This window comes from Homo sapiens, chromosome 1 (genome assembly GCF_000001405.40).
Source record: "Homo sapiens chromosome 1, GRCh38.p14 Primary Assembly".
In the NCBI taxonomy this organism is placed as follows: domain Eukaryota; kingdom Metazoa; phylum Chordata; class Mammalia; order Primates; family Hominidae; genus Homo; species Homo sapiens.
The window spans coordinates 221,701,047-221,713,213 of record NC_000001.11 but is presented as its reverse complement, the minus strand read 5'-3'; the positions used below and the strand labels follow the sequence as shown (position 1 = coordinate 221,713,213).

The 12,167-nt window shown below is 39.9% G+C and overlaps 1 protein-coding gene across 4 annotated transcripts in view, besides 2 other annotated features; it reads left to right on the top strand.

The window, feature by feature from the left end:
- Positions 1–11,790, top strand: part of DUSP10 (dual specificity phosphatase 10) — a 40,666-nt gene extending 28,876 nt beyond the window's left edge. For all 4 annotated transcript variants that reach the window (NR_111940.2, NR_111939.2, NM_007207.6 and 1 more), the window contains 2 exons: positions 6,748–7,119; positions 10,537–11,790. Coding sequence is in view for 2 of the 4 variants with exons in the window: in NM_007207.6 (NP_009138.1) it covers positions 6,748–7,119; positions 10,537–10,802 (638 nt within the window). In the remaining 2 variants the exon portion in view is untranslated. The remainder of the gene's footprint in view (positions 1–6,747; positions 7,120–10,536) is intronic.
- Positions 683–862: an enhancer, noted in NCBI's record as "active region_2560". NCBI's record gives its function as "activates an Ori minimal core promoter by ATAC-STARR-seq in GM12878 lymphoblastoid cells {active_cell/tissue: GM12878}" and the evidence as "EXISTENCE:reporter gene assay evidence [ECO:0000049][PMID:35858748]".
- Positions 5,096–5,205: an enhancer, noted in NCBI's record as "active region_2559". NCBI's record gives its function as "activates an Ori minimal core promoter by ATAC-STARR-seq in GM12878 lymphoblastoid cells {active_cell/tissue: GM12878}" and the evidence as "EXISTENCE:reporter gene assay evidence [ECO:0000049][PMID:35858748]".
- Positions 11,791–12,167: the final 377 nt, after the last annotated feature.

The following is a 12,167-nucleotide window of genomic DNA, read 5'->3' as shown; positions in this document are numbered from 1 at the left end:
CTGCTTTGTCCTCCCTCTCTGGTGATGCCCTTGCATGGGGTTGCCTCTGCAGGATGGTCTCCTTTTCCTACTGCTCTGAAGCAACTGTACCAGCATCAAAAGTTCATCTCTAGCAACACTGACATTGACCCCTGTAGTCTCTGGTCATCTTCCTGCATCTGACTACCTCCAGTGCTAGTTAGCTTTGCTGCTCCATTTGACAGTCATTCAAATAGCTGCAGGGTTTGAATGCCTTCTTAAAATACCAGGATGGCTATTGTACACACAAAATCATTGAATCATTACGACAGACCTAAGTAGTAGTATCCTATTTTATAGTTATGGAAAGATAGCCCAGAATACTTCAATAACTTTCAAAAAGTCACACACTTGGCATGTGGCAGACCCACTATTCTAAATCCAAGGCAAAGCTCTTTTTTTTTTTTTTTTTTTTTTTGCTGCTTTATATATCATCCACTGTCTTTTCTAGAGTTGGCTTTTAAGATATATCTGTAGATAACTGTGTCTCCTTCACACAGGAAAAACCCATGAATGGAGGGACTAACTTATTTTTAGATATATCTTCCTAAAAGACTTAATAATATAGCAAGCCAAATAATGTGGATGGGTACTCAATGGGATTCAAGATCCCATTATGTTATATGAGTATATCTGAAGTTTTATGTATATGTGTGTATTTTAAGCTTGTGATACTTCCTTGTTTATGTCTTTTCAAACATAAGGCATCTCACATGTAAGCCAGACCACACTGGTTTGAGGGAAGCAGTCAAATGACGTGATCATAAGAAGACTTCTCTCTGACTCATAGTCAGCCTCCTAAATCTCTTTCTTCCCCTGAGTAAGATAAATACTTCTTTATCTCTTGTTTCATACCTTATACCTAGTGAGACAGCACTCCCATTCAACTCTCTCTGCCTCTGTTTGATAGGGCCTCCCTTTACTCTTCTTGGGAAAGAAATACAAGTTCCCTGGGGGCAAGATCCTAAGACAATTTAAGTAATACTTCCTTGGGTATTTTACAGTAGGAATGATTTTCATCTTGAACTTGAAAATACCCTACTGTAAAATACCCAATTCCTACTGTAAAATACCCAATCACATCTATGGAGTATAAAGAACATTTCATAGAAAACAAGAAGTAGAAATAATCTTTGTGGATCGAGCTGGTACCCACCACCACCCCACATGTTTCTCCTGTTAAGATAGGTGATATTCTGCCCTGAAACTTATGAAGTGACTCTGACCCTGTCTTTGAAGAAGATTTCAGCCTTGGCAGCCTGACATCAGCTCCAGTTCATCCAGGCTTTGTTCTTCCACAGATTCTTGTGCTTATAGAATCTTGAGTGGCTCTGATGTTCTGTTTCCATGGAGTATATCATAGCATCCATCTGTTCCTGGTATAAACAAAATAGTATGCAACTTACAGCAATGTCTCTCCCACTTATAATAAAACACCTAACTCTCATGTAGCATTTTATCCATATTGAGAGCTCTGTGAGATAGAAATTATTATATTACAAGTCACAGATATGTAAACTGAGATGCAGAGACATCAATAACTTGCTCAAGGTTACAAGGTAAGTGATAGGAGTCAGGAGTTTTAACTCAAGCAATCTGGCTCCAGTCTATGATCTTAACCACTATCATCAAGGTACTGTTTTACTTTAAAAGACTGGTTACTCAGTAAGAAAAACTAGGCAACAGAGAGGGGTGATCAATATGCTTATAGCAAACTGTAGAAGAGTCCAATTTTAGCCTACACCCCTCCCCCTGGTCTTTGGACATTACTTCTGTTTGCTGACCTTCAGTGAGAGTGTTCCTTAAATTTCTGGAAACAGCTCACTTTCTAGCTTAGCATAAGACCAAAAAGGGCTGTCCACCTTTAGAGTATAAAAATCTCTTGCTTATAGATTCTGCATTTGGATGTGGTTTCTTTAACTCACAACCCAGCGCATTGCTTCTGAATCACATTACAGAGGACTCTTCTGTTTCTAGGACTGCAGTCGCCAAAACAGCAACAGGAGCTGAAATGCATCTATAAAGAGAAGTTTCCCACTAAAACTAGAATCCATTGCTTCAGTAGGACTGTCACTGAACTGACCGTGTGTTAGAAGAAACTGGCAGGCAGTATTTCCACATATAGTTCTTTAGGGGTGCTAGGTATTCTTTGTTGCTGCCATTTAGAATCAATGTACTGACCATACTCATTTTGGCAGAGAACCTACTTTTGACATAAGCTTTGAAAATGTTTGCTGCCCCCCCACCCCGCCTTGCCTCACCCTACCCCAGCATTGTTGCTCATGGCTACAATATGTTCGCACTAATAACTGCAGGCTCTTGTGCACATAAGGAAGTTAGCCACCTTGGTAGAAATTAGAGGAAAGGAAGAAGGAGGGAAGAACAGTTTTATTTTCAAAATCCAATTCTGTGGAAAAACCAGAAATGCAAAGACAGTGTTTGTTAGGAAAGCTAGGACCAACAAAGTGAAATCAGATATATTTGTTTAGGAAAAATAGGGAGCTGTTGCTTTCTTTATGTTAAAAGTATGTTTTGCAAACTTTAAAACTGCTCGGATACCTTGGTTCCTAATTCTTTTTTGTTAAATAAAATTTTAAAAGTAAAAACTCAGGAACATTAGTTTACTTATATAGAGTCTTTATATTAAGCAGATTTTTTTTTTTTTAGATCTTTAAAATGGTAGTTTCCCAAAGTGATGAAAAGAAAAAGCACTTACAATGTGCTGGACATTGTTTTAAGGTACTTTATTAACCACTTTAATCATTACAACAGTACAGTGAGGTAGGTACTATTGTTATCCCTGTTTTGTATACAGGGAAACTGAGGAACAGACAGGTGAGAAACCTGCCCAGGGTCTCATAGCTAGTGTTTGGCTGTGCTGGGGATTCAAACCCAAGAAGTCCAGCCTCAATACTCCTTCTCTGAATCACTGCACTGCACTTAGGGCTCTCATGGACTATGCGTGTGCATAGATCTGTTGGAATTTAGAACAAAGGTGATGATATTGGGGGTAATAAGACATTATTTATCGAATACCTGGTCGTGTATCAAAACCTTTACATAGGCTTCCTGAACTATGACCCTGATGGGTAGATGATATTACATCCACTTAATAGATTGGTAAACTGAGGCTTAATGAGGGAACCTGACTTGCACAGGGTCTCACAGCTGCTAGGAGGCAGAATCATAACTGCAGCTAGGTGTGGTTTGTCTCTGACCTTTGCTCTTAACCTCCATGCTACACTGCTCCTGCTTTGTTTGTTAATTATCATGTTCTAATATTCTTAAATAGTAATAAACATAACATCATCAGGGTTCCTCATTAAGTGATCAGTCACTTTGGCCTCTGGTGATACTTGATGGGGTAGGGTCGGAGGAAAGTAACTGGAAAAGAAAAACCAGATTAGCTTTACTCTTCCCCCTCCCCTCCAGATTTCAATTTCAACCCTTCCCCAAGAGAAGAAAACAATCCTTCCTGCAGACTTCTCTGGAAAAAGCCACCACTGTGAGCTTCCACTCGTTGTTTTTTACTTTAAGCACCGTCCACAGAGAGAGTTTTTAACTGCAGTACAGAGCTGTGCATAAGCCTTATGGAAAACTGATGCCCAAGTTGATTAGCAGAGTGGCAGTTGAACAGGAGACTATTTCTTCAGACCCCTCAAGGAGAATTTCCTTGTTTACCTTATATGTTTAAATTGTAATATCTCCTTTTCTCTCCACCCCCACCCCTCCCACCTCCAAATATTATAAGAACAGAGTTCCTACATGGCTTAAACATACAATGCACCCATACTTTTGCACATAAGCATGCTCTGTGATTTGGAGCATTCTGTGTGTCTGTCTCAAATTCCCTCCTCCCCCCACTCCGCCACGGGTTTTTTTCCCCCCATTAGGCAAATGGAAGGCCCATGCCACCTGTTAGCATTACATCATTGGCTCCCCAGAACACAGTTGCACCAAAGGCCTTAAACAAAGTAGTTCTTCTTGTATTGTTTGCACTCAAAGAGCTGATATCATGCCAACTGATGTCATTGTATGTCTTTGTGTAACTGCTATGGCAACTGGGCAGGTGGGGAGCCTCCAGCTGATGTCATTGAGAAAGGAGGTGTAGAGGCAGAATTTTAAAAAGCTGGACGCTGCTTTTTTCTGTGTGTGGGGTTTTCTAGCATGTGTTGGTTTTTTTTTTTTTTTTTAAACTAGCTGCTTTTAAGACAAATTACAGCTTGAGTACCCTAAATAAGAACAGAGAGGTTTTTCCCCTGCTTTTAGAGCCTTCTTTTGAATTTGTTTTATTGTTCTTCCCTCTCATCTTATATGGAAAAATGTAACAACTGCCTTTTTTGAAGAAAAAAGTGAATTAGGTTCCCATCACAGAATCTGTGTGGAATTTGGGTTTTTGTGGAGGCGAAGCTGAGCAGATTTTAACTCTTCAGAATCCCTTTTGTGGAGGCTGTGATGATGACAATGGGTAGTTTTTATCTTATTTATTTTTTAAGTCTTCACTGGTGAAGTTATTTTCCATATTTTCTTTCTTCTACTTCAGAATTATCTCTTCAGGTTCAAACTTTATTGTCATAATTGCCTAGCAGAATAAACTATCATATGTAAGGGCAGAGGTTAATTCTAGAAATCAACTGAAATTCGTATATAGCTCTTGTTTTTCTTTTCAAAAAGCTAGGGTAGGTTTTGACTTCTTACTTTCAATGAGTAAAGTGAACATAATATTGCCCTTTGAGTTTTCTTTGGATCATAACCATACCTTAAGGAAAATATGATTTCTCTCTTTTACACAGCCAGCTCCGGGTCCATTGGTTGTGAAAAGTCATGAGACTCGGTCTAGGTTATGGTCTGGAGTTTCCCGCTGTGGTTTGTCAAAGATGAGACTTGAAATGGAGAAGAACATATGCCAGGCTCAGAGGCTAGTGGACAGATAGACTTCCTGTCCTTATTGCAACATAACCGTCTCTTGTTCATGCTTTGGGTTTTCTGCCTTATCTCCTGGAACTATCAAGACAGCCACAAGCCATCTGTCTTTGAGGGTAGATGTTGTGTTCTGGTGGCTTTCAGCTAATAGGACTTTTCCACTTCCCCCTCTTTTCAAAGGGAAAGCCAGAGTGTATCTAGTTCTGTTTGAGTAGGGTTAGAGCTCAGTTGGCACTAATAATGTCAATCCAGATTTTATAGCACTTACATGTATATTATTATAATTTGAGCTTTGTAATAATCCTTTGGGTTTATCTGTGCATGCCATTGTGTGTAAAAATATTAGCAGAAAATTTAAACAATAAACTATGATCCGTAAATTCCCTAATTTAAACAATTGTTCGTTTTTTGTACAGTTCTTCAGCTTTTGGTCAATGTTTTTTACTTAGCTTTTAAAAAATTTAATATTAAACCAAAATGTTTTATTTATTTTCACATCCTTTTTGCAACTACTCTTTTAAAGGCTACATAATACTCCGTGGAATGAATGTAATAACTTTTTTTCTTTTATTTTTGTGTTTTACTTGGCCTTTTTAAAATATATATAAAACAGATAACATTGTAGTGAACATCTCCATATATCTAGCTAACTATCTTTGGTTAGATGATTTCCCTAAGATCCATTCCCAAAAGTGAGATTGCACTTGTTCAGGGGAAGGTTTGCATTTTAAAAATGGAGAAATAAGCACAGTTTATAAGCTTTTTATACTAGACCCATAACTCGTGGGAGGCAGAGCAGAGCCGTAAGCTCAAAAGCATGCATTCACACATCCAAAAGAGGTTTCTTGATGGGTTTATGTGCCCACAAGCCTTGGAAAGTCGAGGAGTAAGCAACCGCGCTGCTCTCACATTCTGTTCTACTGAAAGTCAGGGTTGATAAATGTCAGGGCCCTACGTGGAGAATATCAAAAAAGATTATAAGAGCAGTCCTTCACACCCCACCCTGGCTTGTCTTTTCCAAGTACTTCTCTGCTGATTTCACCTGTGGGCAATCATATAAATAATATAAATTAAAATAGTGAATGCCTGCTGAGTTCTACTGTGTGCCAGGAGATGTGCTAAGTATTTTACACGTATTCATTTATCTCAGGCTCACAATTGCACTCAAAGGGAGACACCATCACCCTCAGTTTACAGATGGTGGAACTGAAGCACAGAGATAAATGAACTTAAGTAATAGTGTCAGGAAATGATGGTACCCAGATTATAATCAAGATAACCTGTCTCTTCCAATGTTCCTGCTTGTAACCACTCTGCTGTATTGGGAGCAAACTTGTCCCTCTGGGTGAGGTGAGCTATGAAGGGTGCAAGACATGCTCCTGTGGTGCTGAGATTCCACCCGAGGAGGTCATCTGTGCCTTTCTTGGCTCCCAAAGCACAGGGTTCTATGTAGGCCACTGAGCATATGGCTCTTTGAGGCAGGTCACATTTGCAGCTGAGGAAGATTGCCTGATGCCGCGTGGAACTCTTGCTAGGGGAACATGCCCTCATTTGTAGAAAGAGCACATTTCCAAAGTGTTCCATGCAGTGATACTCCCCGAAGCTTGTCTTGGGTCTCCAAATGGACTTTTAGTTTTTGTTTTGTTTTGTTTTATTTTTATTTTTATTTTTTTTGCTTAAATACATATTTATATATGTATTTAAAATATGCATGAGCTACAATGCAAACTCATTCTAATGGGGAGGTGGCATTCTCTGCCAGCTCTGAAATCTCAGTCACACTCACCTTCTGTGTTTGTGTTCTAGGTGGACTTAGTAGTTTTAAGCAGAACCATGAAAACCTCTGTGACAACTCCCTCCAGCTCCAAGAGTGCCGGGAGGTGGGGGGCGGCGCATCCGCGGCCTCGAGCTTGCTACCTCAGCCCATCCCCACCACCCCTGACATCGAGAACGCTGAGCTCACCCCCATCTTGCCCTTCCTGTTCCTTGGCAATGAGCAGGATGCTCAGGACCTGGACACCATGCAGCGGCTGAACATCGGCTACGTCATCAACGTCACCACTCATCTTCCCCTCTACCACTATGAGAAAGGCCTGTTCAACTACAAGCGGCTGCCAGCCACTGACAGCAACAAGCAGAACCTGCGGCAGTACTTTGAAGAGGCTTTTGAGTTCATTGGTAACTATCTCCCATAGGGAATTTTCATCCGCTGCCTTCCTTTTCCCTCCAGCTCTTGCTTTGATATCAAGTTCAAGGTTTATTCCTGTGTTGGAAAAGAAAAGCTGCCCTGGAGTTTTGGAGGGCTCTGCCACCTGAAACAGCCTAAGCATTCTCCTAAGTCATAGCCTGTCGAGTGTATCCAAGCCATCAGGATGGATATAAAAGGACAGTAATTGAATTTGTTGGGATCTGTTCAACTAGAAATCCTCATCCCTCAAGTTCTCAGTGAAATAGTGGTAGGGGTTAGCATTTATGTGCTCTGTAACCAGAAAAGTGGATGGAAAGTAAGGAATCGGAGGTCAGAGCTGGTGCTACTGCTACTTGATCTACTAGCGCCGTTGAGCACCTTGGAAGCAATATCTAGTGAATATGACACCCCTTCCAAACATACCTATGCCTTCCGGTCACCCTACTAAGCCTTATTCATCCAGCATAAGGGGAGATGGTACTAGGTTTCCTTTGACAGTCTGCCCCAAACTCATTGAACTAGGAAAGATCAGGTTGTGTAGACGGAGTAGTTCCCAAGGAGGAAGTTTTAGCAACAGCACGCTTTGATCCCCAGAAGGAAGCAACTATTAGCCTAATCCTAATCTTAATTTCTGCAACTTCTATAGCCCCAAACTGCTATAAGACTCAAAATATCGCCGGGCGCGGTGGCTCATGCCTGTAATCCCAGCACATTGGGAGGCCGAGGCGGGTGGATCACCTGAGGTCAGGAGTTTGAGACCAGCCTGACCAACATGGAGAAACTCCATCTCTACTAAAAAAATACAAAATTAGCCAGGCGTGGTGGTGCATGCCTGTAATCCCAGCTACTCAGGAGGCTGAGGCAGGAGAATCGCTTGAGCCTGGGAAGCGGAGGTTGCAGTGAGCTGAGATCACGCCACTGCACTCCAGCCTGGGCAACAACAGTGAAACTCTGTCTCAAAAAAAAAAAAAAACACTCAAAATATCATTTTGGGAGCACCTGCAATATAGCAAAACTCAACATTTATTTTTTTTTACGTAACTTCAACTTTTATTACCATAAAGGGGTGGCCTAGTACTTTTCCTAAATATTACAGCAGGTTGTTATTCCAGGAAGAATACAGTTAAGTGGAGTGGGGTGTTCCTTTGTCAGAGAAAGAAAAAAACAGCCTCAGGTTTAACAGCCAGTGGGGTCTGGTGGATTTGCTGTAGTGTTGACATCTCTGGTCATTTTGCCAAGCTGTTTTCCTTGCTAATTATGCCGTCAGCACAGGACCATGGAATATTGAGTCTGAAAGGAAATTCAGGGTGATCACTGAACTTAGAGAAGTAAAGTGACTTCTTCAAGGTCATAGGAATTCTAGTGTCCAAGAAGGGGCCAGAATCCAGGGTTTTTGACTCCCAAGCCTGAGGCCTTTTCACAACACACTAAGGCAATGTTTATGATGCCCTATTAAGTAATTCCCAACTGGCAACACTGAGGATGCAGAGATACTGCAGATTCTTTATTAATAAAATCTGAGCCAAACCTGGAGCGCTGAGGAAGAAAAATTTCTCAACAAGCATATGAGGAACTTCTGGTTGATACATGATGTGATGTTATGACTGAGATTCCATCTGACTTAACTCCAGTTGGAGGAAGTTAGGAAATTGTTTTCTATTTAATGAGTAGGGTAAGATATACTTGTTCTAAGAGGATTTCAACTAAAGCTCCTTCTCACATTCCTTATAGATTATTCAGGCTTACCTGCCTTTTTTTTTTTTTTTTTAAGGAAAACAAAACCAATAACAAATAGCATTCAGCCCGAAGAACAACTCCATATCACAACCTGCATAGGCACAATTTTATTTTCATTGTTATATTATTGGATAAACTGAAATCTTACAGTCTTGCTTTAGTAAAAACACAGCAGGTTTTATAAACATAATAGCTTTCACTGAGAGTGTAATATAAGCTGAGCAGCATCTAAGTTTAGTGTTTATACCAGTTTATTTATTCCTGAATCAAGTGTGTGTAGTGGAACCGGTGGTCCAGCCAGGCACTCAGAAGCTCATTCTCTCACCACCATGCTTTCTGGTCTTGACTTGGAGCTAAATACCGTGTGCTGAAGGGAAAAAGTTGAAAAAGAGAGATGCTTACTTTTCTTGAAATACTGTTGACTATGAGAAGTAAACTTCATCTGTAAATTTTTAAGATGAAAATTTACATCAGGTTTTTTTTCCTTGGTCCACTGGTGGGTAGCCAGTAGATGTAGTTTAGGTGAAATCACTACTCTCTCTACCCCTTCTCCTTCCCTACCTGTTTATCTAATTGGTGTTCCTTCAAGGAAGCTTTCTTAGGGATGTGTTAGAGTCTAGAAATGTCATTAAGAATCTGTTCAGGTAGTGCCCACATGCTATTGTCCTGAGCTTTTAATATATTTGAAAACTTAGCAAGTCTTCCTCTTTCAATTGCTCTGGATTTTGAGCCATTGCTGGGATTCCTCCATCTTCTGCATTATTGCCACACTGGAATGTCATACATGGAAGCAAACGGGATTGAATGCTTGAGAGGTGACACCCTCGGCCTGTATACTACTAGCCTTTAGTTAACTTTGCAACAACTGGATTTTCTGGGGAGAAGCTGAACATAGTATCTTCCTAGTTAAGCTTTATTCCTTTAACCTTAATCAGGGTTTAGTAAGACTAAAACTCTTATCCATTTAATGCCCGTTCCTGTACAGAGCAATTCTATAGAATAAAGAAAGTGTTTTTTCTCTATTACAAGTGAGAGAGTTGTTACTAGCACTAGGTTTGTTAAGTCACACAACCGAAAATTGGAATTAACATCCTTAATCCAAAGAGGAACTGCATATATATATATATACACACACACACACACACATACACACACATACATATACATATATATGTGTGAGTGTATATTTTCATGTGTGTGTATAATTTTTCCCCTTCCTCTCTCCTTTTCCTTCATTCTTTTTTTTTCTTTCAGTAGTGTAATTCCAGAAAAAAAGAGAACAAGACATTTGAGAGAAGGTTCAGTGACTGTTAGAGTCGACTTGATCAGTAGCTTGTTCAACGTGAAAGTTAACTGTGTTATAGGTCTGGCTTCCGGCCACTGCTGTCACCTGTGCAGCAAACTGTTCCTATGAGCAATTCTTTCATTTAATCTTCTCTTTAAATGTAGATGTATAGCTTCTTGTTCGTGCTGATATCAACTTTAGCCAGTTCTGGAAGTTGTGACATAAGTATACGTAATGAACTAGTGGATTATACTTGGCTTTAAAACTGTTTTAATTCATTATTTCTATACAAAATAAGGCATTGCAAAGTTGAGATGAAAGTTTCTCTCTCCGTGCCTCTCTCTTCCATCTTCCCTTCATCTCTTGTCTTTCTCCCTTTTTTCAGAGGAAGCTCACCAGTGTGGGAAGGGGCTTCTCATCCACTGCCAGGCTGGGGTGTCCCGCTCCGCCACCATCGTCATCGCTTACTTGATGAAGCACACTCGGATGACCATGACTGATGCTTATAAATTTGTCAAAGGCAAACGACCAATTATCTCCCCAAACCTTAACTTCATGGGGCAGTTGCTAGAGTTCGAGGAAGACCTAAACAACGGTGTGACACCGAGAATCCTTACACCAAAGCTGATGGGCGTGGAGACGGTTGTGTGACAATGGTCTGGATGGAAAGGATTGCTGCTCTCCATTAGGAGACAATGAGGAAGGAGGATGGATTCTGGTTTTTTTTCTTTCTTTTTTTTTTTGTAGTTGGGAGTAAGTTTGTGAATGGAAACAAACTTGTTTAAACACTTTATTTTTAACAAGTGTAAGAAGACTATAACTTTTGATGCCATTGAGATTCACCTCCCACAAACTGACAAATTAAGGAGGTTAAAGAAGTAATTTTTTTAAGCCAACAATAAAAATATAATACAACTTGTTTCTCCCCCTTTTCCTTTTAAGCTATTTGTAGAGTTTATGACTAAATAGTCTGTGCAGGTTCATAGACCGAAGATACTACACACTTTAAACCAATTAAAAAGAACCAAAAGTAAATAGAAAAGACATTGAATCACCAAGGCCTGGGATCAACCTGGGCTGTCCACACAGAAAACAAAAACCCAACCAAACCAAGCCCTGTTGTGCTCACTGGTGCAAAGAGAAGATCAGGGCAGCTTAAGTGGTCTAAGAATCCTTCAGGCATTCTTTAAGGAGAAAAAGGATACCTTTGATTTTGTGTGTTTCATGCTCTGGATTTTTTTTTTTTTTCCTTCTCTGGGTTTAAGAGATTTTTTTTGAAATAGTGAGGAACTGACCATTATATGCCTTCACTGGCTTCTTGTGCAATAATATGATGTTTTAAGTGTGCAAACAAGTTAGAGCTGGCAGCTGAATGATAGACAAATAGTGCAAATTTGCCAGCTTGGAGATAGAAAGGAATTCAACAATATATCAAATACTTTCCTTCCCACCTTTTTCCTTTTTTTTTTTTTTTTCTGATTTGATTCTGGTTACAGTGCCATAAACCTTGTTACATATGTATATCAGAATGTAAGAAAAAAAAATTTATTTAAAAATATTTTTCGCAAAAAAAAAAAAAATCTTGGTGTGTTTCTGTTGATTGTGTAAAAATTTATTTTCATTATATAAATGAAACTGGTTTAGGATGTGTCTTTTTTTCCCCTCTCTTTTACCTTAACTCAGGTTCAAGCCTTTCTTAAGCTCTGGTAACTTGCATATACAACAAAGTTGAAATAAAACAGATTTTTATATAGGGAAAGAGAGATGAGGAAGGGAACATATCCAGTTTTCTCACTGTGAAACAGAGTTAGCAAGGAAGTGGAAGAGCTCCAGTATTGATCTGCCCAGTCACTGTCCCTTATATTCTCACAATGCTGTCATCCTCTCCTGCAAATATCATTCCTTTTGCATCGGGGAAGGCTTGCATTAAGGGGATCCCATCTGCCTTTGCGCCTTGGTGACCAAATCCCTGCCAGATTGATTGGTGAGAATTCAGTGATCTCCCTAGTGGCTATT